General features: G+C 38.9%; 1 protein-coding gene and 2 long non-coding RNA genes across 3 annotated transcripts in view; 2 read left to right on the top strand and 1 right to left on the bottom strand.

Annotated features, from left to right (window-relative positions):
* Window positions 1–566: 566 nt before the first annotated feature.
* LINC01886 (long intergenic non-protein coding RNA 1886) lies at window positions 567–27,644 on the bottom strand. The gene is made up of 3 exons (NR_146968.1): window positions 27,364–27,644; window positions 25,284–25,403; window positions 567–1,930 (listed from the first exon to the last, which is right to left on the bottom strand). It is a non-coding gene; the product is annotated as a long intergenic non-protein coding RNA 1886 (long non-coding RNA).
* Window positions 14,492–27,691, top strand: part of LINC01885 (long intergenic non-protein coding RNA 1885) — a 159,884-nt gene continuing 146,684 nt past the window's right edge. The window contains exon 1 of the long non-coding RNA NR_183423.1: window positions 14,492–14,624. This is a non-coding gene — a long non-coding RNA (long intergenic non-protein coding RNA 1885). The remainder of the gene's footprint in view (window positions 14,625–27,691) is intronic.
* LOC124905955 (uncharacterized) lies at window positions 17,504–23,243 on the top strand. The gene has a single exon (XM_047446891.1). It carries the CDS (start codon window positions 20,425–20,427, stop codon window positions 21,088–21,090), a length of 666 nt encoding a protein of 221 aa, XP_047302847.1. The 5' UTR covers window positions 17,504–20,424; the 3' UTR covers window positions 21,091–23,243.

The following is a 27,691-nucleotide window of genomic DNA, read 5'->3' as shown; positions in this document are numbered from 1 at the left end:
CCCTTTCTTATCACAAAGCCACTAAATTGCCCAAAACTCATGGATTAGAATTACAATTTGGAAACTCCTTGGGCAATTCAGAATCTCTATGAATGTCGTATGTCATTGAACACTGATAGGAATTTTTCAGTTGGTGAGAATTCCCCCTAGGCTGACAGCAAGCTCTCTCTAGCATCTGTGAACTGGTAGCCTGTGTTTTATCTAATTCCCTTTTCACAGACAGGTTAGCTCTTCAGATCTCTGGGCTTTACACACAGGTGTCTGCTTTTGATGCTTGCCTCACACAAAATCATATCACATCTCCTCACTGGGTCTTGAACTCTAGCCTATAGTCTTGATGTCTGAAACACCAGTGAGTCCCCATGAGGTCAACATTCACTTATATTCTTTTTTTTTTTTTTTTTGAGACTGAGTCTCTCTCTGTCACCCAGGATGGAGTGCAGTGGCACCATCTTGGCTCACTGTGCCCTCTGCCTCCCAGGTTCAAGTGATTCTCCTGCCTCAGCCTCCCATGTAGCTGGGATTGCAGGTGTTGCAGGAATGAGGAGACTGGAGAGACCAGATGGGTGGAACAGGAGGATTTTATTTAGGTTGCCACTGGCTTAGTGGATTAATATCCAGAGGCTGAGCAACAAAAGAAGACAGGGCTTGACTTTTATTCATGCAACTGAAGGAGGGTGGCTTGCCAGTGGCGCAAAGCTTGTGGGGTGTGGAAAGCAAGCTTACAGAAGCAGAACAAAGGCAGTTAATCAAACTGTGACAGGTTCCTAACTCAAGCTTACACATGATTCTTGCTGTGCAGGCCAGGTGGCTGTTATCTAGGTTTGCTCAAGATGCCTGCACAGCCTTATCTCGTGTCCTTCGCTATGGCGCCCAGATGGCTGCAATCTAAGCTTGCTCAAGCATGTCTCATTACCTCCACGGTGCTACAGAGACTTACAGACACTAGTTACAGAAAACAGGAATCTATAAACTCATAAAACTTACAGAGCAGGGTAAAATCACAAGGAGTGAGGAGGGATTCAAGGGGGAAGCTGCCCATACCAAAAGAAAGAGGAAAAATTTGTTTTTCCTCTCACATCTCTTGCTTCACAGGCACATGCCACCATGCCTGGCTATTTTTTTTTTTTTTTAGTAGAGACAGGGTTTCCCCAGTTGGCCAGGCTGGTCTTGAACTCCGAACCTTCAGTGATCTGCCTGCCTCGGCCTCCCAAAATGCTGGGATTACAGGTGTGAGCCACCCTGCCTGGCCTCATTTATATTCTTTATCAGTTTTAGTTCCTTTTTTGTTTCTAGCACTTGGAAATTATCTATCTACCTATTTATCTATCTAGGCATTGATATAAACAAAAGTACCATACAGAGCTGTGTTTAAAGTTCAGAGTTGATGATTCTTATGCTTGAAACCTGGCACTGCTATTTACTTCTCTATTTTGGACAATTTATTTAACATTTCTATGCTTAAGTTTGCTCACCATGGAATTGTTTTTAGATAAACATAGTACAGAGAATTCCTTATACCCAAAACTGAGTTTCTCCAACTGTTAACATCTCACATTAGCACATACATTTTCTGTAGCACAATCCTATCCCGAATTCCATGTTATATTTAGTCCTCATGTCTTCTTAGGCTCCTCTTGGCTGTAACAGGTTTCTTAGATTCACCTTGTTTTTGGTGAACTTGACAATTTCAGGGAGGGACAGCCTGGTATTTTGTAGAATGTCCCTGAGTCTGAGTTTTGTTGATATGCTTCTCATGATTAGGCTGCTGTTACGGGATTTTTCAGAGGAAGACCACAGAGGTAAAGTGCCATTTTTATCACATCACATCAAGGGTACACACCAAAACCATGACTTATCACAGTAGACGTTGACCTTGATCACCTGGCTGAGGCAGTGTTTAAGGTAATGTGGTATCCAAGATGGGATCCTGGGACAGAAAAAGAACATTAGATAAAAACTAAGAAAATCTGAATAAAGAGTAGACTTTAGCTTAGAATAATGTGTTGATATTGGCTCATTCATTATGACAAATATACCATACTAGAGTGAAATGTTAATAATAGGAAGACTTGAGTGGGTTTGGGGGATTCTCAGTATTATCTTTGCAACTTTCTTGTAACCCAAAGCTGTTTTACATTTTTGATAGTTATAAATAAATAAACAAATAAATAAAATTATGAAGAAAAGAAAAACTTACTGTGCTTTATCTTTTTAACCCTTCCCTTTCCTCAAACCCTTGGCAACCACTCATCTATTTTCAGTCCCTATTTTTTTGTTTTTTTAAGAATGTCACACGATTGGAATCATGTATTATATAGCCTCTTCATATATTTATTTCACTTAGCAATGTGAGTTTAAGATGTTTCCATTTTGTCATATGGATTGGTAGCTCACTCCTTTTATTGATAAATAATATTCATTTTATGAATTCTGTCCATTCATCTACTGAAGGGCATCTTGGATTCCTCCAGTTTTTTACAATTATAAAATATTTGCATGAAGATGTTTCTGTGGACATAAGTTTACAAACCAGTCAGAAAAATACCTAGGAGCACAATTGCTGGATCATATGCCAGTAGTATGTTTAGCTTTGTAAGAAACTGCCAGTCTTCCAAAGTGGCTTTGTCATTTTGCTTCCCCACCACCAATGACGGTAAGTTCCTGTTGCTCCATATCATTTCCAGCAATTGGTATTGTCAGTTTTTTGGATTTTAGCCATTCTAATAGGAGTAAGATTGTATTTCATTGTTATTTTCATCACAGGCATTTAATGAGAGCTGAATGTGATTGCCACTTAGTTAATTTTTTCCTCCTATTACAGGATTTATGTGCTGCAGTTATTATATTTTATCCAGGATTTCCATGTGTATTAGTGGACTGAGTCCCATCTACATCAACTCAGTTCACCATGTAGATTTCATTTCATTTCATGAAATCTTTTGCTGCTCATTTAACATGAACTTAAGGCAATTTCTCAGAGCCAATCCTCATGTTTCTGCACAAGTTATTATTTCAGAGACAGACACATTCCAAATTAAACATGAGGGATATTTGCTATTGATATGATACCCAGCTGTCTAAAAACTTATCTAAAAATGTTTGCTGGGTATTCTAATGAGCACAGTAAACGTTCGTATGTGTGTGTTTGTGTGTGTGTGTGTGTGTGTATGCCTAATTTATTCTGTCTTCTTTCCTCACTCATTTGTTGTGAATTGAGTAATTTGAACTTGACATAAGTACTTAGGCTTCTGAAGATTATTCAGGTGAATTACGCATAAGCAACTTGGAGACAAGTGACATTGCCAAATCTGCCTGCCAACATGTTGATGCAATGAATGTCGCCCTTGTCTTTTCCTAGTTTGTGATGAGTCATCACCTCATCATTACAAAATGACTGAGTTTGCTAAATATGCCATCTTGTCGCAGGTTTTGATTTAGTTGTAGTTAATGCAATAAATTACACTACATATGCATCCCTTACTGAAATTGGCATCATCACAACTATCATATTCTTTTCTATATTTTTACTTCGACAATCATTTTTAAATGCTTTCTGTCAAGCAAAGTTTTAATCAACAACCTTGGGCCTCTGTTGAGAGAGACAGCATGTAGATTTTGTCTGCCTACATTAAAGAAATGGGAAAATTGTGACAATGTAAAGCATTCAAAATAAAACAGCATAGTCTGCAAGTTTTGGGCGTTAATGATTATGAACATTTCTTATCCATAACATGAGATGTGGAAGAAATGGCTCAATAAGATGAGCTGCCGCTGTTAGCCATGCCAAAGCAGTGGTGTGGGAAATTCTTGTTGACCTCTCAAGGGGAAAACAGATGTTAAGCAATCCTCTGGTCTACTGTAGGCAAAAAGATGTGGGAAATTTTGTGTGTCTCCAAAGTTAATGGAAAAGCTAACTTTTTCTGAAGTATCAAGACAGACCTGTAGTAGAGAGTAAAGGGTAAATCTAGAGTCTTACAAAACTTTATATCCACAGGAATTCATACTCTCTCTCCATTAAATTCAGAGTCATGGGTTCCTTGTGTTTCAAGCAGCACATAGCCGGTATTATCTTTGCAATTTTCTTGTATGGGGAAGAAACAGTAGAAGAGGCAGCTTCGATGAGAGAATTATGGTCACTATATTATGGGTAATAATTAAAGCATTTTATTTCAGAAAATAAGATGAACTTTATTAAAAGACTGAAGCCAGGAGATAATCTACTAGGAAATACTATATAAATAAATTATTAGAAAACAAAAGACAACCAACAAAGCGTTGATAAAACTGCATCATCTGTCATCCACATGGAATAGCACCAATTCACATAAATATTGTTAAAGTGAATAGATCAAAAGCTGAAAACATAGAGGGAATTTATTTTCCAAGGAATGGTGTAAGCTGAGTTGGAAGAATTCAGTCTGCTATGCTTGAAGTAAGATCATTTTTTTCTTACAAATGCACTTTCTGAATTAACTCTAACATTGCTGAGTTAGTAATCTTTGAAGAAAGTGACCAACATTCTTGATTTTATAGTTTGGGTTGCCTACTTTGGACCCAAGTACATGTATAACGAATGAAAAAACAATATGTGAAGGCAGTATTATAGTTGAGATTTTGAACACACAAAATCTCAGACAATCAAATTTATGATTCCTGTGGTAACTATAACTCTGCCACACTGCACATTATAGTAATCACTGCAGTGAACACTATAGTTACAGTTGCAAGGTATTTGGGGCTGTAACAGTTTATTTTCCATTGCTTGCAATCATTTCAAAAAAATTCTCATTTGGGGCTCTGCTTTTAAAGTTTGTTTCTGTTGAATGGTGGTGAATAATATTGGAAAGTAAGAGAAAAAAATAGTTCAAAGACTGGTGAAAGGGAAGCTTGAAAATATTAGTTTTCTTTGGTGGTCAACAATATATAATATATAATATATACACACACACACCCACACACATACATACATGTGCAAGGTACTGTGAGAGTGTAAATTGGTTTAAAAAAGTTTCCCCCTAGTTATATGTAACGGACTGTGAGAGTGTAAATTGGTTAAAAAAAGTGTTTCCCCCAGTTACAGAGAGTTTATATATATGCCCACACAAGAAATACACACACACACACACACCTGCTAGAATGTAAAATGTAGTAAGTAGTTAATCCATTCAACTTTGTTGAACTAATAAACCAACAAAGATAATAGCATTCAAAAATGTTTCAGGAGTTCAAAGAGGAAAATCATAATTTTTGCCTACATCTTCGCAGAGAAGCTAGATGTCATGTTTAGGAAGGTGGGACTTGATTATAAAGTTAGATTCCCAATGTCACCACCAATTAGACCGTGACTTTCGCAAATGAATGGACACCATCAGTTGCTTCTCCACTCCCCATCGCCTCCTCCCTAACAGAATGCCAGACGAGTTTGGATATCCACCTTTCTCCAAGGGATATCAGAGGAGGATGACACATCCCAGCGCTATTGGTATAAACTGTTTAGTGAAAGTCAGCCAACATATCCCACCCTTTCACTCCGGAGTGCTCTAGCCAAGGGCATTTTATCCAGTTGTTGCCAATGGGAAATTAGGTAGATCTATAGGAGGAGTTTCTAAGAAAAGGTCCTTGACCCTAAGTCATGGGCGAGGGGTAGATAGTCTCTGTCTTTGCATTGGACATTGTCAAGTCCTGCTGGGCTGCCTGAACCAGCCTGAAAATCCAATGAACACAAAGGATGTCAGAGGAGAGAAAAGGAAAACGTAGGGTGGTTATGCACATCATGAGCCTCATAATCAATTCTAAGACGTTGCCTTCTCCTGATCTTCCCATTATGGACAATATTAAGTTCCTTGTTTTTAAGTCAGTTTAAGTAAGGGTTTTCTATTACTGATTGCCAAAGTCATCCTTCCTGATAATGTAAGTCACCAAACTCTGAGTTTTAATTTCCTCATGTATTAAATATACTTGAAAATTTCCTGTCTTCCAGAAAAATCTGTGCAAAATACTATGAATTAAAAGGCATTATACAAATACAAGGCAAACAAATTGACTTTCACATATACATTATTTATATCCAGTGGTGTGCTACAGTCAGCATATACCAGCTCACAGAAAGCCCATTTTCAAATGTTTAGGAACCCTGCAAACTCATTGACATCACATACATTAAAATCAGCCACTCTCTAGTATGGATACACAACAATTTGCTTATCCATTCACCCGTTGATACATATTTAGTTTTTTATTTTCAGTCTGGGGCTATTACAAATAAAGCTCTACAAACATTTATGTAAAGGCCTCTGCATAGACACGTTTCCGTTTCTCTTGAGTAAAAACCTAAGAGTAGAACAACTAGATCATATTTTCAGTCTATTATTTACTTAATGGAAACTGCCAAATTGGTTTCCAAAATGATCGTGCCATATTATATTCCCCTCATCGATATATGAGAGTTCCAATTTCTTTACATCTTCGACAACAGTTGAAATCTTTAGTTTTTTTAAAAAAAATTTAGCCATAATAATGAATATATAGAAGTATCATATTGTGGCTTATATTTGTATTTCTCCGATGATTAATGATGTTGAACATATATTTATGAGTTTATCTGGTACTTATAATATGTCTTTCAAGGTTCATATCTTTTGCCCATTTTTGGGAGTTATTTCTGTTTTTATTATTGAGTTGGGAGAGTTTGTTAATATATCCTCAATACAAATTCTTTATGAGATGATATTTTCTCTCAGTTTGTAGCTTGCCTTTCATTTTTAAAATACAGTGTTTTTCAAACAGTAAAAGTTTTAATTTTGATAAGAATAATTTTATTTTTCTTTTGTGACTCATGATTTTTGTGTCCTGTTTATGAAGTTTTTACATGCCCCAAAGCTGCAAAGACTTGTTCATATTTTCTTCTATATTTATTATATTATAATGATTATGCTTAGGTGTATAATGCATTTTGAGTTAATTTTGGTATGTGGTATGAAGTCAATATTTTCTTATTTATTATAAGCATGAAAATACAGTAGTCCCAGGATCTTTTGTTGAAAAGGTAATACTTTCTTCCTTGAATAACCTTGGCCCCCTTTCTGAGACGCAGTTGAACATAAAAATGTGGGTTCATTTTTGGACTCTATTCTGTTCCAGGAATCTAATATTTATCCTTACACCGATACCATAGCTGCTTCATATGGCTTGAAGTCAGCTAGTGTGAATTCTCCATCTTCTTTGTTCAAAATGATTTTTGCTACTTGTGGTCATTTTTATTTTTCACATAAATTTTAGAAGTAGTTTGATAATTTCTAAAAAAGCTTCTGAAATTTTGATTGGAACTATGTTTAATTTATAAATCAGTTTGGGAAGAACTGACATTTTAACACTTTCTTTCAATATATAAAAATATTGTATCTCTTGATTTATGTCTTTTAAGCACTTCTTTCAGCAATGCTTTATAATTTTCAGGGTGTAAGTTTTGCATATATGTATTAAATTTATCCCTAAGTATTTCATTATTTTATTATATTCTTTATTTCAATTTATTTATTTATTTTTGAGATGGAGTCTTGCTCTGCCACCCAGGCTGGCGTGCAGTGGTGTGATCTTGACTCACTGCAACCTCCACCTCCCGGGTTCAAGCAATTCTCCTGCCTCAGCCTCCCAAGTAGCTGGGACTACAGGCACACACCACCACAGCTGGCTAATTTTTGTATTTTTAGTAGAGATGGGGTTTCACCATGTTGGCCAGGCTGGTCTTGAACTCCTGACCTCAGGTAATCCACCTCCCTTGGCTTCCCAAAGTGCTGGGATTACAGGCATGAGCTACCGCACCCAGCCGTTTATTTCAATTTTTAATTATCCATTGCTAGCGTGTAGAATGCAATCAACTTTTTTGCATGTTGCTCTTGTGTGCTATCTTGTTTATCTTTAAAACTCAAATGATATTATTACTATTCCTTTGTACATTCAATGATGCTTCAGATTTGTCTTCAATTACTTTGCTTTTCTTTCTCTGAAAATCAGAAAATTTCCTTTTCGGATCTTTACTCGTATTGTTGAAGTACAGAGTTTAGTAAGTATCTGTTGTGGTAAACTCAGTTTTTGTTTGGCTAAATGTATGTTTATTTAATTACTTTGTAATGATCCTTAAAGTAGACATAAAATTTAAGAACATTTTTTTCTTTTTCGAAAGTTTTATGATGTATCACACATTAGAAAGTACAAAGTAGATATATGAAACTTTAAGGATAGTAACAAAATAAATACATAAAATTTTTATTTGAGTGAAGAAATAAAATGCTGCTAGTACTTTAGAAGTTTTATAGACATACTCGTTGCCAAATGTTTTGCCAAATAACAAACCATCCCAAAACTTAATTGCTTACAACAAGAGCTGGTTATTGAGCTCAGATTTATGTAGGACAATTCTTTTCACTACATTCTATCAGCTGATCTCTGATGAGATTACTCATGCAGTTTAGCTGGGGGCTACACTGACAAGGATGGTCTCAGCTAAATGTCTGGTATTCCACAGGTAGTACCAAGGGCTGGTTGACTGCCAGTTAGGACACATGTCTTCTCCCCATGTGACCACTCATCTTCCATCAGCCTAGTTCAGCCTCATTAACATGATTTCAGGGCTCTAAATTTAGCAAGAAAACACGCCCTGATTCTCAAGCACTTTGCAAGTCTCTGACTGCATCACACTTGATATTGTCCCACTGGCCAAAGCAAGACATGTCCCCATCCAGATTTAAAGGTGGAGATGTAGACTTTCTTTATTCATGTAGCTAGAAATATTTTTAGCCATTTTTGTAAATTATCATGTCTTCTCATCCATATATAGTCATATGTATATATATTCATACATATTAACACATATTCACATATACTAATTTCCTTTCCAAAGAAAAGAAAGCAAAGTAATTGAAGATAAATCTGAAATAACATTGTATGTATAAAGGAATAGAAATAATATCTTATTTGAGTTTTTAAAATGAGATAGAATACAAAAGCAACAGGCAAAAAATATGAATATATATATATTCGATACGGTTTAAACTTCATTTATGTGAAATTATGTTATATATAAGGCTCTTTGATAAGCTTCTTTCACTTGTATTTTTAATATTTACCATTGCTGAATTTAGCTGTATCTTGTCTTTTTCTATAGTATTCAGTTATATGAATATACTTTAATTCACTTATTCTTTCTATTATTGATGGACAGTTGAACTATTTCTAGCTTACTATATTCTCACTCTATTTTTTTATAAAACAAACAAGTTTTAAATTATATAAAACTGGAATTTATCAATTTTTTGCTTATGATTTGCATCATTTTAAATTTGAGAAATCCTTCCCTATACTAAAATCATAACAATATTCTCACATATTGTCTACCAAGCCTTTTATAGATAATATAATTTCATTTTTAAATGTATAATCAGTGCCCTGATTATTTATTGAGTAGTCCACTGCTTCCCGAGTGATCTGAAATGCCATCTCTGTCACAATTCAAGTGTGTACTATGAATGTAGGCTTGTTTTACTAATTTAAAAATTCCTTTAGATTATGAAATCTTCTGAAGTATAAGTGTGCATTCTATTGCATTAATTTCTATTCTTATTTCTTTCTTTGTCTTTGCATTCATCCCAGTATTTTTCTAATACATTATCTCATTAATTTTATGCTTTCTTTTCAAATAACATATATTTCTAATATATATTTCTGAATTCCATTTTATCCATATTCTCCAAGTCATTTGTGCATAAATTTTATAACTGTTTAATTATAAAATTTTCTAAATTTTACTATGGTTTCTCTTATTATTTAAACTTCTACACATATAGAGGTTTACTAGTTTTAAAAGCATTTTTCTAATTTAATTATATTCTGAGAAGGAGTTTGGATGATATAGCAACACTTTAAATTTATTAAGACTAACTTTTCTATATGTTTCTTATTTGCTTGAGAATAACATTATGTATCATGTATATAATATAGTTGAATTTGTTAATCATATCAAATATGGATAGAAATAAATGGCTAGATAGAGGTATTCAATACTCTGTAAGTCAGGAAAATAGAGCTTCAAGGTTTGTTCTTAAAATCGTTTTACGTTCTAGTAGATTTACTTTTTATCTTCAATTACTGAGAGAGGCATGTAAAAATCTTTCACAATCATAATTGTGACTTTTTCCATCTTTACTTTAAATCTGTTTTCACTTTGTATGTTTTGAAGCTGGTCACACAGGTTTAAAACTATCGTATCTTCTTAAACAATGGAAACTTTAATGGTATGTGTTGACTTTCCCTGTCATTATTCATGCATTTACATTAAATCTGTCTCTTTAGATGCTAATATAGTTGCTCCAGTTACTTATAGTTAATATTTGTAAGCTATACCTTTTCTGTGTTTTAACTTTGAATATGTATGTATCTTTTCAACAAAATAAATTTATAAAATCCATTCTGTTAATCCTGGTCTCTCAAATAGAAAGTTTGGTGTCTTTAGATTTATAACAATTACTGATCTATTTAGAATTATTTCTCCCATCTTACTATGTTTTTGTCTCACTAATTTATGTCTTTTTCTTAGTTTCTTTTTAATTGACATATTTTGTTATTTGCTTTTTCTCATTCAATTGCTTTTTTTTCCTATATGCTTAGAAGCTGTTACTTTCTCTTTTAGTGATTATTCTAGCAAATTTAACAATCGTGCTTACTAGGTCCAGTATTTGCATTCTACTTAAGAAAAATTTAAGTTTAGAACATTTAATTCTAGTCATCCCCAAGTTATTTGTCATTGCCTAGTGTTTTCTTGGTAACCTGTTTACTTCCTCACAGATTAGACATTGCCATTATTGCTTTATAATGTCAATATTTATTATTTACCACAACAGAGTAGTAAGCAGTGGTGTCTGCAGGCACGTTGCCTGGCTGTGAATCTCCTGCCACTTATAAATTCTGTCATCTTAAGACAAGTTAAACTTGTTTAATAATAGGATCTTACTCATAGTATCGTAATAAGGATTAAATGAACTAAAACATGCTTACAGAAATTATCTGGTGCATAATAATTGCCCAATAGGGATTTACCACTGGCTTTGGTATCTACATTACTTCCGGTAACTCAGACTTTTCACAGAGGCTCATTTACTCTTCTCTTGAAATACATTCTTTACAAATTCCCATGGGGAATATTTTTTTCGGTGATTTTTCAGTTTTTATCTGTCCAAAAATGTCTTTATTTTACAATTCTGAAAGAAAGACTACTGTGAATAGAGTTTTAGGTTGACACTCTTTTCTCTGAGTGCATTGAAGATTGTATTACACCATCGTTCCTCTCCCAAAATGCTGATGGGAAGCGCAGTGAGCCTTTACTTTATGGGTTATCTGTCTTTTGTTCTGTGTCTATTTTAAGATCAGTCTGTCTCAGTCACTTCTTTTTTTCTTCTTTTCATGTACTAAATCTAGATGTCATTTAAAAAATATCTGGACTCTTTAGACTTTCTGGACCTGAGGATTAAGAATTTTTCTCACTTTTATCTTTTCACATCTTCTGTCTCCCTTAATCTTTTTTTTTTCTGAAACTACAATGAGATGTATGTAAAATCTGCACATTTTGTTGTGCGTTTCTCTCATATTTTTCTGCCTCTCTGCGCTGCAATATGGGGTAGTTCTTCTTTCCATATGAAAACATATCTTTCAATGTACTGCTTCTCCTTCCATTTGTGCTATTTCACATCAGTCTTTCACTATACTACTTATTTCCATCTCCACTCAGTTTCACTTCCTCCTCAGTGCACCGCGTCTCCATCTCCATTTTCACATCTGCCTCTCAGTGCACCAGGTCTCCTTCCATCTCTCCTCAGGATCACATCCACCTCTCAGTGCGCTCCGTCTCCATCTCCACTCACTTTCACATCCGGCTCTCAGTGTGCCACGTCTCCTTCCATCTCTCCTGAGTTTCACAGCCGCCTCTCAGTGCGCCCCGCCTCCATCTCCACTCACTTTCACATCCGGCTCTCAGTGCGCCATGTGTCCTTCCATCTCTCCTGAGTTTCACATCCGTCTCTCAGTGTGCCCAGTCTCCTTCCATCTCCACTCAGTTTCACATCCGGCTCTCAGTGCGCCACGTCTCCTTCCATCTCTCCTGAGTTTCACATCCGCCTCTCAGTGCGCCAGGTCCCCTTCCATCTTCCCTCAGTTTCACATCCGGCTCTCAGTGCACCACGTCTCCTTCCATCTCTCCTGAGTTTCACATCCGTCTCTCAGTGTGCCCAGTCTCCTTCCATCTCCCCTCAGTTTCACATCCGCCTCTCAGTGCACCAGGTCTCCTTCCATCTCCCCTGAGTTTCACATCCGGCTCTCAGTGCGCCGCGTCTCCTTCCATCTCCCCTCAGTTTCACATCCGGCTCTCAGTGCGTCAGGTCTCCTTCCATCTTCCCTCAGTTTCACATCCGGCTCTCAGTGCGCCACGTCTCCTTCTATCTCTCTTGAGTTTCACATCCGCCTCTCAGTGCGCCAGGTCTCCTTCCATCTCCCCTCAGTTTCACATCCGCCTCTCAGTGCACCAGGTCTCCTTCCATCTCCACTCAGTTTCACATCCGCTTCTCAGTGCACCGCGTCTCCTTCCATCTCCACTCGGTTTCACGTCCGCCTCTCAGTGCACCAGGTCTCCTTCCATCTCTCCTCAGGTTCACGTCCACCGCTCAGTGCGCCAGTCTCTTTCCATCTTCCCTCAGTTTCACGTCCGCTTCTCAGTGCACCGCGTGTCTTTCCATCTCTACTCAGTTTCACATCCGCCTCTCAGTGCGCGAAGTCTCCTTCCATCTGTCCTGAGTTTCACATCCACCTCTCAGTGTGCCACGTCTCCTTCCATTTGTACCAAGTCTTATGTGTACTCATCCATTAAGGTTTTCATTCCAAAGTAAATGCTGCACTTCTACAAGCTGTATTGTTTCTTTTTTTTCAAGCCTGCCTGCATTTTTAATTTTTTAGTGGCAGTATCTCTCTGCCACCCAGGTTGGCATGCCAGTGGCATGATTAGATTTCACTGTATCAGCAAACTCCTGAGCTCACCCTCTCACCCTCTCAAGTATGTAGGACGACAAGTGCCTGCCAACATGCCAAGCCAATTTTTTTCGTTTCTTTTTTAGAGATGATGTTTTGCTATATTGCCCTGGCTGATTGTTTTTTCTTTTGTTTGTTTGTTTTTTGGAATCCCACTCTGTCAACCAGGCTGAAGTGCAGTGGAACGACTACAGGCACAGGCCACCACGCCCTGCTTTTTTTTTTTTTTTTTTTTTGGTATTTTAGTAGAGACTGGGTTTCATCATGTTGGCCAGCCTGGTCTTGAACTCGTGACCTCAAGTGATCTGCTTGCCTTGGCCTCCCAAAGTGCTGGGATTACAGGCATGAGCCCCTGGCTGGTCTTAAACTCCTGGACTCAAGCAATCCTTGTGCCTCAACCTCCCGAGTAGCTGGGATTACATGCATGAGGCAGGGTGCCTGGCTTAGTCTGCCTAAAGGTTTCTAATAATAAACAGTGCCTTGCTTATGTATCCTATTGCCTCTTTTACAACTTCAAAGATTCAAATTGTACTTCTACTTAGTATTTTATAATCCCAATGGCTGAATTTCTTGATTAGGCAAAGTGAAGAACCAACTCTGCTGCTGTTTTTTTGTTTGTTTGTTTTGTTTTTTTTCTTATAGTGGTTTTTGGTGTATGTGTGTGTGAGAGAGAGATACTGGAATAAAAGGTCATCATTTATTCTGGGCTGTATGTGTAGAGTCTCATTTCAAGTTGATAGTGCATATCTCTTCTGGGGTGTTGTATCTCTTCAATCGAGGTATGTGCCCTAATCAGAGGGCATGTAAATTTGAAATCTAAAACCATGTATGAGAAGCTTATAATTACAAATAAATTATCAGGTATATTTTTCTCTCCAGAGACAAATTCCAATGGATTATTGCCATTGAAATCTCCCCACACAGGCTGGAAGATTTTTTTTTTTAATCTAGCCCTTGTTTTCATGCAAGATATAGCCTGTCAATGTGTTTGGATCTTTTTGTAAATCCCCATTTTTCTCTGGCCCAAGGTCCTGTCTCCTCTTCCCTAAGTGGCTCATGAAGCCCAGGTGTCTGAATCACTAAAACCCTCACACATCAGAGCTAGCAGAAGCTTCACTGTCATTTTGTATCTTTTCTGTAACAGAAAGTATTTTAAATTTCCAAACTCACCTCCACCTTGGAAGGATAGTTCTCCAGAAAGCATCGAACTGACCTTCCCCCAGCGCCCTTCTTGTTTGTAGTTCTCAATAATCACTAGAACAGCTGGGATCACTAGAACATGCTGAGATAGGGAGAATGGCCTGACAGCTGGGGCTCTGTTGCCATGCTCCCCTAGAAACAGAATGTGCTTTAATGCTGTAGCCCAGACATTCCTATTGCCGCAGAGCATACCACCTGGGGGTGGGGATGCTGCTGTCTGGGGATCCTCAGCTGCAGTGCAAGTGGTGCCCGTGAATTTTGAGACTCCTTCTGCTCCAGGCAGCTTTCCTGAACCTTGAGGAGGACTGGCTGGTGATAAATCCTAGGCTTCTGTTGTCCCTCATTGCCTGTCTGTGAGTAATAAACCTGCTTTCTATGACGTGTTGCGTATGTGTGTGTTCTGTCTTTCCTAACTCAGTTTGGTCACCAGCGCACAGCAAACCTGCTTCCCTGTCTTGTTCTTTCTCACTCAGGAGGTTGAGTAACGCCACCAGCGTAGTAACTCCTGGTATTAAATAACTCAACTTATTCATATCTAAGTGATCATGGCTTGTAGCCAGCCAATCTTTCCAGATGACTTTTGATTTCAGACAAGGACTTTATGAACATGAAGCTGAAATAATTTCTAACAATAACATTCTTATAAATGCGTTTGAGGGGAAAGTGATTTCTGGAAACCCACACATTTTACCAGCTAACCTTGTTGTTCACATGAGTTATTATTGCAGCTGTCACATTCCTTTTTCAGACCTGCTATGACGGAGATCATATATCTCTTTTAAATGTTATTCATTCAGTAAGTATTTATTAAGCGCCTACTATGTGCCAGACTTAATGCTAGAGCAACAAGGACGTAAAAATGAGAAAAGTGAAATGGATTCCATCCCTCATAAAGATTACAACCCACTGAGAAAAAGGAAGAACCCAACAATTACATAAACATATGTAGAAGGACATGAGAGAATTGTGGAAAGCCTATTTTGTACTGGGGGATAAATCTTATAAAAGCAAAGAAACAGCTTTGTGAGAAGGTATTTTATACGTATGTGTGTGTGTGTATATATATATATATATATATATTCTAATTTAGTAGTGAGAGTTTCTTCACGAAGGTGGCTATGAACTCTAGCTCTGCTCTTATGGGGCTCCAGGGATTTGATTGTGGATTTTTACAATATGCTTTTCACAAAATACATTTTTTTTAATCCTGGTGGATAGCCTAATGCCTAAGCATTTGACCTGTGACCAAGTGTCCCACTCACAGGAATATCCTGCTAGACACCATTGTGGCTGTTGTCTTACCTGTGTCCAATTGACTCCAAGCAAAATAGTCACCCTCTGGGAGAGCCCTGATGAGCAAAGAAGCTATATTCAGGTATATCAGTCAGGTGAGACAGAGAAAGCAAGTGAACAAAACACATAAAATAACAGAGGTGGTTTATTACCTACAGACCTCAGAGGGAAGAGGACAGCACACTTCACAGGGTTAATGGGAAGTGGGGAACCACAGACAAGCACGCTCAGCTAGTGGGTGGGGAGCAAGAGAGAAAACAAGAGACCTGTGGGCTGAAGCTTTTATTGGCCTCCAGGGTGATACCCAAACATGTTTCTTATAAGGAGTCAAGATTGGTGGGTTTAGAGCAAGCTGGAATGAGTTCCTTAGAATCATGCTGAGATTCTAGGAACTAGAATCAGTCTAGAATCAGATGGAGAGGTGGCCATCGTTATATATCTGCTCAGTCTATGCAAGGTGTGGGGGTCAGTGGTGCGAGTCAAGTAGGTTGTGTCCTAGAGAGAAGTAGTCACCAGGAGGTGATTATATAAGGCAGATATCTGGATTTATCACAGTGAGGAATTGGAAGGAGGTCAAGAACTGGGAATTGTGTCAAGAGTGACAGCCCCTGCTTCTGGGATGAGAAAATCTAGCTTATATTCAAAATATGCCAAAGCAAGGTAAAATGATAGGAATTCACTACAGCCTATAATGACAGATCTGAGTTTATCCAAGGAGCAGAAAAAGAAGTGATGCTAGTGGTGAGATGAGAAGAAGGACTTGGGTCTGGAGAGCCCAGGAGATCAGAGCTGCTGGTATGACAGAGAAGAAAGAGTGCTAGGCAATGGGGCTGGGGAGGTAGGGAGGCTGTGACTAACAGGGTTGAGGAGAGTACTCTGTGGGCAGTCTTGTTTTCGTCAGGAAACAAGCACAGAGGTCCACACTAAGAGAAGCAGAGAGGAAAGGAGTCAACTAGTTAACACTGACAGATCTTTCTTTCCAATGAAGAAAATGTAGGTGTCTTAGTCACGTCTTAGCCATGGCTAAATTACTATACCCCATGCTTTCCTCTTTTAAACTATCAAGAGCTGTTGTGAAACTAAACTCTTAGAAGAATCAGATCGGTTGTCAAAATCATTTCATATTTCCCCACATCCAAATTCTGCAAAAGCAGTGAACTTGAACTTTGCAGAGTAGAACTCCTTAGAATTAATTGTATTCCTCAAATAGCATGCCATCAGAGGGTCTGTCTCTCTTTTCCACTGTTAGGCCCTTTGCACACAGCAACCAAAACAGTTAATCACCAGAACACTGGGCGGGAGGTTGGGGGGAGCGGGGGGGAATAACATTTAAGCATAAAAAAGCACCAATTCCTGAATAATCATAAATTCATTTATTCAGTTTATCAGTGAAAATGTATTAAACATCTATTATGTGTCAGGCTCCATTCTCTGTCCTGTAAAAGGAAAATTAATTAACTTCCAGTAACTTCATTTTATTAGCAAGCTTTTGAAGGTATGGCCCGAGTAGTTCTTCTCCTGAGCAGTCATCCAGTAAAAGTTTGTACCAGATGCCCTCCATCCCCCTTTTAGTGAAACAGTAAGCTAATGGACACTGAGGAGCTAGAAGCCAAAGAACTTTGAGGAGATGCCTCACCAGCTGCTGATTTGCACTGGATCCTCCTGAAATAGCCTGGTGATAACTCAAACCAGCATAGAGGTAATTAGCTGCTATCGAAAACACACAAATATTGTTTCAATATGAGTTTTTTTCTTGTCTCACTTTTGGAAATACTTCAGAAAAAGACTGCATGACTGTCAAAACTCTGTGAACTAAATTTTGTAAAGGGGGTGGAGGTTGTGAAGCCACCCTTTATGAATACAACAAATGGGCTGAAGTCCTTGTTCACACATTTTTAATAACATTGTTTCAGATGGGCCCTAGCTTCACCTCTTTTTTTTTTTTTTTTTTAAACAATAAATAAGTTGAAATTAATATACAGGCTACCAGATCAGCCAGGCAGAAGAAAGATCTCAGGGACAAATAGTACTGTCCTCAAAACACCATCAGGAAAGAGCCATATATATCTGCATTGCCACTGTATATTTCTATTTTCTATACCCAACTAAGCCAAATAAAGTTCATGGTATTGGAGAGGCGGCTCTACTACAATGACACGTTTAGATTTACCTATTTGTAATTTTAGCTGTAAGTAGTATAGATTTGATTATCATCTTTAATATTGGCTATTGAATAGGGACAGAATAGACTTAGCTTTTATGGGGATAAGTCATTTCTGTTCACGAAGATCTTATAGTATCTTATGGGTAAGATATATGTATCTAGGTATCTAGGTTTTTTGTCTCTCAGCAATAAAGAAAAATCATGAATGAACCCCTCCTTACAGTCCTGCAAAAAAGTGAACCTATCTGTTGTTTGGAAACATTAAAATAGAGAGAATGTTCCCATCTGCAGGGGACAGTTTATGTGAAGTTATTCTTGAAGACAGGGAAAGGGCTTAGATGACCCCTGGGAAGCCCCTCTCCCAACTCTCCAGCAGCAACCTCCCCTGGTAAGCCTACAGGTATCTTCTTCCGTCTATGCTGCTTTCGTGTGAAGGGTAATAGTTATGACACCTATGGCAATTCCAGAAATGCATGTGTACCACTGAATGCCACTTTTGTCTCTTTAGGAGGGTGAGACTCAGACTTTGTGGCACTTAGCAGTAACTTTGATAACTCAAAAGAGGCAAATGCGTATCAGAATTTTCCCCTCTCACAGAGCCCTGGCAAGATTATTTTTCTCCTGCAGTGATGAAATAGAACATTAAATATTCTGTCTTCTCCAAACAAAAAGCATAATACAATCCCTTTTTATCTGACAGTTGACCGAAACTTGTTTTTCTGGGTTCATCAGTTATCTTTTTATTTTATTTATTTATTTGTATTTATTTATTTATTTTTTTAGAGACGGAGTCTCACTCTGTCACCCAGGCTGGAGTGGAGTGGCGCGATCTCACTGCAAGCTCCACCTCCCGGGTTCACGCCATTCTCCTGCCTCAGCCTCCCGAGTAGCTGGGACGCCACTAAGCCCAGCTAATTTTTTTTTTTGTTTTGTATTTTTAGTAGAGACATGGTTTCACTGTGTTGGCCGGGATGGTCTTGATCTCCTGACCTCGTGATCCGACCGCCTCAGCCTCCCAAAGTGCTGGGATTATAGGCGTGAGCCACCGCACCAGCCCAGTTACTTTTTTTAATAGATGGCAGATAAAATTAGAGATGAGACAATGCATGGCGAAGAATGTCTCTTTCTATGAAAAGCGGAAGACCTAAAACTAAACCCAGCCAGAAAACACTTTCCATGCACAGATAACATCACTTATCGATTTATGTCTCTGCGAGGTAAAAGAACTGCATATAGTCACTTATGGATGCTATAAGCCAGTGGACAAAAATAATATTAAAGAGAGAGACAAAGAAAAATATTGGGAAACTTTTAGATTCCAGGACTGGCGTCCACCCTGCACCCTGAACTGCTGAGACAGTTCACAGCCATCTGCAATCCTGAGTGGGAATAAGCGGATAAATTATTATCTTACTTGTTTTTATTCATCTTAAATGTATATATAACTTGCATTTATTTCAATGTTTAATAATAGAAAGGTTTTGGTCTTTTTTTAGAAGTTTGGTAATATTCTTGTGACCAGAAATATGCCATAGGAAATTAACTCTTGTTTCTATCAATTATTGTACAATAAAGATGTTTTTATTATTATTTATTTATTTTAGTTATTTATTTATTATTTGAGACAGAGTCTGACCCTGTCACCCAGGCTGAAGCGCAGTGGTGTGATCTCGGCTCACTGCAACCTCCACCTCTTCTGCCTCAGCCTCCCAAGTAGCTATGAACTACAGGTACATGCCACCACGCCTGGTTAATTTTTGTATTTTCAGTAGAGATGGAGTTTTGCCATGTTGGCCAGGCTGGTCTCGAACTCCTGACCTCAAGTAATCCACCCACCTTGACTTCCCAAAGGGTTGGAATTATAGGCATGAGCCACCACACTCAGCCAAGTTGTTTTCATTATATGTCATTTGGTGTAGTCTCAATGTCCAAGAACCTATGGGTGACCTTAAGTGAAGCTTTACTGTACTTTTTAGGCTCGTTCCTAGCTCAGCAGTAAAAGTGGAGATCCCTCAGACATGCTCTCTGTTGTTACTAAGGGCTAAAAAAAAACAAAGCCTAGCACATATTTTTAAATTTTTAGGTCTAATCCTAAATCAATTTTGTCACCTTTCTCATGCCTCCTGTTTTGGGACCCCTTACACACATATGCAATTGGGTACCCCACAGTCAGGGCCATCTCACCTTCAACCTCATCAGTGCCCTACATCAGTAAGGGTACCTTGTACAACCCTATCCTTTTGCTGCCACAAATGTTATATTAGATGTTTATAGTCAAATACAGACTATAGAGTAAAAAGTGTCCCAATTTTTTCTTTGTCTTTCTTTTCAATATCATTTCTGTCCACTGTCCTGTGGTATCCATAATTGATTATAGCTGCAGTTCTTTTAGCTCAATTGATAAGTGATGTTTTATGTGATTTGGAAAGTGTTTTCTGTTAGGTTTCAGTTTTACATCTCCCAATTTTCATAAAAAGAGACATTCTTTGCCTTGGGCTGACTCATCTCTCAATTCTTCTGCTATCTCTTATCTATGACACACACCCACACTCACTCATATAGGAACCATATAGACATGGCAGTTCACCTCATGTGCACAGCTTTGGGATGTAGGGGAGGAAACTGGAATACCCAGAGAAAACCCACACAGACATGAAGAGAACACGCAATTGCCACTCAGACAGTGGCATTGAGAGATGACAGCGTGCTGGCAGCCCTCGCTCACTCTCGGTGCCTCCTCGGCCTCGGTGCCCACTTTGGCCATGCTCGAGGAGCCCTTCACTCCACCACTGCACTGTGGGAGCCCATCTGTGGGCTGGCCGAGGCCGGAGCCAGCTCCCTCTGCTTGCGGGGAGGTGTGGAGGGAGAGGTGTGGGCAGGAACTGGGGCTGCACATGGTGCTCGCGGGCCAGCGTGAGTTCCTGGTGGGCATGGGCTCTGAGGCCCAGCACTCAGAGCAGCTGGCCAGCGCTGCCACCCCGGGCAGTGAGGGGCTTAGCACCCGGGCCAGCAGCTGTGGAGGGTGCACCGGGTCCCCCAGCAGTGCCGGCCCACAGACGCTGTGCTCAAATTCTCGCCAGGCCTCAGCTGCCTCCCCGCAGGGCAGGGCTTGGGACCTGCAGCCCACCATGCCCGAGCCTCCACCCTGCTGTGGGCTCCAGCATGCAGCTGGAGCCTCCCTGATGAGTGTCACCCCCTGCTCCCCAGAACCCAATCCCATTGACTGCCCAAGGGCTGAGGAGTGCGGGCGCACGGCGCCAGACTGGCGGGCAGCTCCACTTGCAGCTCCCATGCGGGATCCACTAGGTGAAGCCAGCTGGGCTCCTAAGTCTAGTGGGGACTTGGAGAACCTGTATGTCTAACTAAGGGATTGTAAATACACCAATCAGCACTCTGTGTCTAGCTCAAGGTTTGTAAACACACCAGTCAGCACCCTGAGTCTAGCTGAAGGTTTGTAAATGCACCTATCAGTGCTCTCTGTCTAGCTAATCTAGTGGGGACTTGGAGAACTTTTGTGTCTAGCTCAGGGATTGTAAACGCACCAATCAGCACCCTGTCAAAATGGACCAATCAGCTCTCCGTAAAACAGACCAATCAGCTCTCTGTAAAATGGACCAATCAGCAGGATGTGGGTGGGGCCAGATAAGGGAATAAAAGCAGGCTGCCCGAGCCAGCAGTGGCAACCCACTGGGGTCCTTTTCCATAACGTGGGAGGTTTGTTCTTTTGCTCTTCGCAATAAATCTTGCTGTTGCTCACTCTCTGGGTCCACACTGCCTTTATGAGCTGCTACACTCACTTCAAAGGTCTGCAGCTTCACTTCTGAAGCCAGCGAGACCACAAACCCACTGGGAGGAATGAACAACTCTGGATGGGAAGAATGAACAACTCCAGACATGACGCTTTAAGAGCTGTAACACTCACTGTGAAGGTCTGCACCTTCACTCCTGAAGCCAGCAAGACCACGAACCCATCAGAAGGAAGAAACTCGGAACACGTCCAAACATCAGAAGGAACAAACTCTGGACACACCATCTTTAAGAACTGTAACATTCACCACGAGGATCCGCGGCTTCATTGTTGAAGTCAGTGAGACCAAGAACCCACCGATTCCGGCCACAGCCTTGCAGAGACTATATGTATTTTTTCTTATCAACATATCGTTGAAGAAAATTACACTACTGGGAGGCATGCTGTAGCAAAATGGGCTGGCAAAAAGCCAGAGCTGTTCTGAAGATACAGCAGCTAGCCCAGTTCCTAAGGTGCTGATTTAGAGTGACTTTGGAGTGTCCACTTACTGAAGTGTAAAATCGCTAAAGGAGATTTTGGTGGGAGTCGGAGTAAGCTGCTTAATTTTGGGCATGTTAATTTAGAGACAGCTATTTAGGACATATGTGGAGAGGGCACGCAGGCAGTTGGAGACACGAGTTCAGGGAGCGTTCTAGGCTGTGGACGTAGATTTGGGAGTTGGTGGTATGTAAATAGAATTTATAAACATGAGACTGAGTGAAAGCATCATAGCAGAGGGAATGTTTAAAGAAGAGAGGAGGCCTGGGGATGTTTAACGCTTAGAGGCACAGGTATGAGGAGCCTGTGAAGCAGAATGAGAAGTGTCACCAATTGAGGCAGAAGGAGAATAGTGAGGAAGTGGAAGCTACAGAAGAAAGTGTTTCAGGAAGGAAGGAGTTACCAGCTGTGACACATGTGGTTTAGGACAAGTGAGTTGAGCCTTGAAAATTGGCCATTGGCTTCAGAAAAGTGTAGTAGTTGGTGAAGTTGAAGAAAGCTGCTTTTAGTGTGGTGTTGGGAACAATGCCTGGCAGAATTGGGCTCAAGAAACAATAGAACAAGGCAAGGTGGAGACAGCAAATACAGGCAAATGTGTTGGGCAGATATTCAGGTGGTTACCAAGTAGGCAGGTAGAAAAACTATTTTGGTAGAAAACTGGGTGATTGGAAATGTTGGCATTTCAGGAGTTGCATTTGGTTTAGAGACATAAATACCATTCAGGGGGACAAGTCCTCTGAAGAGGTATCTAGTATAATTGCATCTGAGAACAAAAACCAGGGGAAAACAAACCATAAACCACGGGCTAGAGTAGAGGGTCCCAGACATTAAGATATATAAAAGGGCCGGGCGCGATGGCTTATGCTTGTAATCCCAGCACTTTGGGAGGCTGAGGCGGGCAGATCACGAGGTCAGAAGATCGAGACCATCCAGGCTAACATGGTGAAACCCCGTCTCTACTAAAAATACAAAACATTAGCCAGGTGTGGTGGTGGGTGCCTGTAGTTCCAGCTACTCAGGAAACTGAGGCAGGAGAATGGCCTGAACCTGGGAGGCGGAGCTTGCAGTGAGCCGAGATCCCGCCACTGCACTCCAGCTTGGACAACAGAGCGAGACTCCGTCTCAAAAAAAAAAAAAAAAAAAAAAAAGATATATCAAAGGTGATGGAAATCCAGCTGAATTGATAATGCAGATGAGTAGAGAGAAGATAAATTCAGCAAGATGAGAGGAGGCAAGTCGGATTTTTCCTAGAAGGCATTTTAATGGGGCTGAGTGCTACATTTCAGGACCAAGTTCTATTCCTTTTGGAGGCAGGAAAACTTGACCACTGCTCCCCACTAAAAAATCAAGGCTTTTGGTATTATGATGTTTCTAAAAGGATAAGCCTTTTGTTTGCCTATAAGAAGCTGTTATTATCAGCTGAGTTAAAGGATCATAGTGCAAGGTCTCATAAACAAAATATCCCTGAGTGCCTTTCATAAATGTGAATTCAACTTATTTATGTCTTCGGCCTTTGAACCACCTCCTGGAAGAGTTAATATCTTAACCTTTTACGACGTAAAGTTTTAGTGAGAATTAGTTTTGTTCTTGGTGGGAATTTCTCTGTAGCTCATACTAAACCCCTGGGAAGGGACTGACCTAGAAGGAGGAAAGAGTGGAGCCTGAATCACCCAGTCTGTTTCGCTGATGGTGAGCCATGGCTTAGGGTCTGGCTGTGTAAGGAGAGGACCCTAAAAATAGACTGCCATCAAGGTGGCTTGGTCAATGCACTGCGATGTCAGTGAAATAGTGCAGGAGAAAGAAGTGTTGCTGACTGTATCACAAAAATTTCTGCCTTTCAGCTGGATTTTGAAATTAATCTGCCAACATTATAGTTAAGTTTGCGTATGATTGAATTAGGTGACTAAGCAATCCTCACAAATAAACAAAAGAAAAATAATATTATTGAACAGTTTTTGTTTTGCTTTTAAAATTGTGATGGAATTTTAGGTTCAGAAAGAAACTGTGAGCCAGAAAAACAGAGAGTGAGAGAACCGTCTTTCACAGAAAATCAAATGTTTCATAACTCAGAAAAAATGAATATATCTAACTTTTAAGAAAAAAATCTTAAATTGTTTATTTCATCTATGAGGCTTTTCAGCCCACAGATCAGGTTTTTTTTGTTTTGTTTTGATCTCCACATTTGTATCATCTTCAATACTCACCTTGATTTCACCTTCCTTCCCCTTTCTCTCTTATTCTCTCTGACTTTAACATTTCTTCTTGCCTTTTCATGACTATCTCTATCTTCCACTCATTTTTCTGCATCAGGTTTTTACTCTAAGTCTCTGATGCCTTTGTGTCTATATATATATGTGTGTGTGTGTGTGTGTATGTGTATATACATATACACACATATATATACACTATATATACACTATACTATATATATACAATACTATATATAGTGTATATATACTACATATATATAGTATCTACTAAACATTTACAATATTTAGAATCTTCTGTACTGTGATGAAAGCACACTTCAGTGACAATTTTTATGCACAGGTTTCTACTTTCTATGGGACCCCTTATTTAGACATGAAGTATTAAATTTATGTCAAAATGTAGGAGAAACAAATCTTTTAAGAACAACAAAAACAGGAAAGGAAGAATGTTAAGATTTTTGAAGAGAAAAGTTAAATATTACTATATTTTATGTATGTGGTGTTTACCTAATATTTTAAAGGGTAAGATGTCATCCACATAGAGTTGTCATTGTGAGCACTTATGTCTTCTCTAGTTTCTCTAGCTCTCTTAAATTTTTTAATTCTTTCTCTAATTCCACATTGCTTACCACATTTTTCTGATTTCTTCATTTTCCAAAAGGATGCATTTCCTTACTTTCTGTTCATTTTAGTGTTTTCTTTTTTGTTTGGAATTTTTTCTCTACGGGATATCATACATATCCTTCATGCTGATGACTTCCAGTACATCTCTACACTCTCTCTCTCTCTCTCTCTCTCTCTCTCTCTCTCTCTGTTTGTGTGTGTGTGTGTGTGTCTTGCTAGAGCTATACATCTGTATTTTTATATTCTGGCTGGATTTGTCACCTGGATTCCCAACAGGCTCCACACAGTATGTCCAAGTGGATATCATCATTAACTCCCCAATCTAGTTACTTACACTGATTTCCTTTTACCTGTCAGTAGCCACACAGGGAGAATGGCTGAGCTAGTCCCCACCATCACAACCACCACCAGGATGCACATACTAAGCAGTGTTTACCTCAGGATGAAGCAAAACACACAGACTTCTGAAGTGGGCACTCCAACACTGGAGACTCATGGTCTGGGGAAACAATACCAGGTACCATAAAGCCACAGGAGGTACGCAGAGGTCCCAAACCTAGAAAATAAACTGTATAGGAGTTCCAGCTTAATTCCTATTCTGCTGGTCTCCTGAAATCACTAAATGTGATATTCTGAGTGTGAAGCTTCATTTCTTTCCAGGGATTCCCTGAAAAATGAGAAAATAGACTTGAGCTAGTAATATATTCTACTTCGACTATCCACAAATATTTACAGACAAACAAGAATCACAGCCTAAGAAGAGATATCACACGCAAACAAACTCTAAGAAAGCAAAATTAATAAAGTGGAAAAAGGGAAACCTCCACATAAACAGTCCTCACTCCTCATCAAGAATTGAGATGTAATTTGTTTAAAAAAAAGAAGTGGGGGAAGAGGATGATGAGGAAGAGCAGAAGCAAGAGGTGAAGATGAAGAGGAGGAAAAGAAAAATAAATGAAAATAAAGTGGTTAATAGTAAAATAGAAGCCTCTCAACAACAGTTCTTGGAGTTTTAAAATATTGTTATAGAAACAAAATAATAAAGAGTAGATGAGTGCTATAAATAATATACGTAGTGAGAATGTGATTTATAAGGTGGAAACTTGTGTGAAGGAAACAAAAGATATTAGAAGAAAAATAATGAAACTTGGAAGATAAATCTAAAAATTCCAACATTCATCTAATAGGAGTTCTAGAAATTCATACAACAATTTGCCAAAGATGAGATTATCAAAGACTTTTTTTAAAAAAAAGAAAATGTCATGGTGCAAAGAACTTAAATTCACCTTTAGAATAAAAGGGCCAACAGGGCACAGAGCTGACTAATAAAATTTATATTACTTGTAGAATATAAACATATGGGGGGATAATAGGATTATAAAACCTAAAATAGTTGCTAAGAAATTATTTCTAAGTACTTAAAGGCCTAATGTAAAAATAATTATCATTCGTAATTAAAATTCCATTTTAAGAAAGCGCAGGAGGTGGTGAAGTTAGAAGAAAAAGTAAAAGCATGTGAAAAATAGTGTCCTTCCATGTGCAGTGTGAAAAGACACAGGCAGAAGAATATATAAACAAAATGTTTTTAATAAAAAAACCTTCTGAAAATAATAAGCAAAATAAAACTCAGAAAAAAATAGGCAAATGAGATAGACTCTTAATTCACAGAAGAAATCCATGGATCTGATAAACTAATAACAAACCGGTAATCAAAGAAACAAAAATTTTAAAAGTAATGAAATAGTGCTTTTCATCCCAAATTGTCAAAAATTAAAAATAGTAATACTTAACACTCAAGTTTTTACTATGTTATATGATGAAATGGAATAAATAAAGAGATGATCTCACTCAGTGACCATAATAAAACTATGGAGAATGTGTTTTTAATATTCTATCTGTATAGATGGGAATATCAAGATTTTGGGAAACTTCCAGAACCTTCTCTACTCTTCCAGAAATCCTCCATCGCCTCCCCTTCACAGCTAAAATTTTGGGAGGTTAACTCTGTACATATCATATCCACTTTCTCACCTTCTTCTTTTCACTCATTAACTTAGGGCAGTTATTTCTCTACTTCCATCACTCCAGTGAAATATTTATTTCCAAGCAAACCACTGTATGATTAACCCAGTAGCTTCTTCTCAGTCCTTATCTTCATTGCCTTAGGTGATTGAAATTGCAACTTATTTTAACTTCTTGATGCATCTTCTTTCCTTGACTATGGCCCTAAAGGCTTGCACATTTCTTCTTGCTCTTTGCTGAAACCTGCACATACTTCTCTATGCCTAACCTGCCACTTCCCCTAACTCCCTAGTGCTCCAGAAGCATTCGTTATGAGCCAGTGAGTTTAAAATATGTACATTCCCTTGCAGACAAACAAATTACATCTACATGCAAAATGAAGTTGCACAGAGGACCAGTTTCTTAAGGTAAAAGAAGAAGTATGGCAATTATTCCCTTACCCACAAACTCAGACTATCTCATATTGGTACAGGAATGAAGAAGAAATTACTTACACAGATAGTGAGGGTATGGAAGTCTTCGGTACAGTTTTCCTTTTAATGAAAAGTAGCCCCAAATCATGTTCCTTTCTAACAAAGAGCAGCCTGTAAAATCAAGCTGCAGATATAGATGCTGGCAGTTGTGCCAATCATGTTCAAAATAGCGGCTCCACCTTCCCTTCTCTGCCAGCCACATGTACAGTAAGGAGCAGACAAGATGGCCCTGGCCAAGGGGAAAGTTCAGTTACATAATAAGATTAGGGTAGGGTGGCCAGCCTTCCCTGGGCTATGTAAATGTCACACCTGATGGAACCAATCTGTGAGCTCTACATAAATCAGACAC

Source organism: Homo sapiens, chromosome 2 (assembly GCF_000001405.40).
Source record: "Homo sapiens chromosome 2, GRCh38.p14 Primary Assembly".
Classification (NCBI taxonomy): domain Eukaryota; kingdom Metazoa; phylum Chordata; class Mammalia; order Primates; family Hominidae; genus Homo; species Homo sapiens.
The sequence above is the reverse complement of the archived record's forward strand: the minus strand, read 5'-3'. Positions and strand labels throughout refer to the sequence as shown.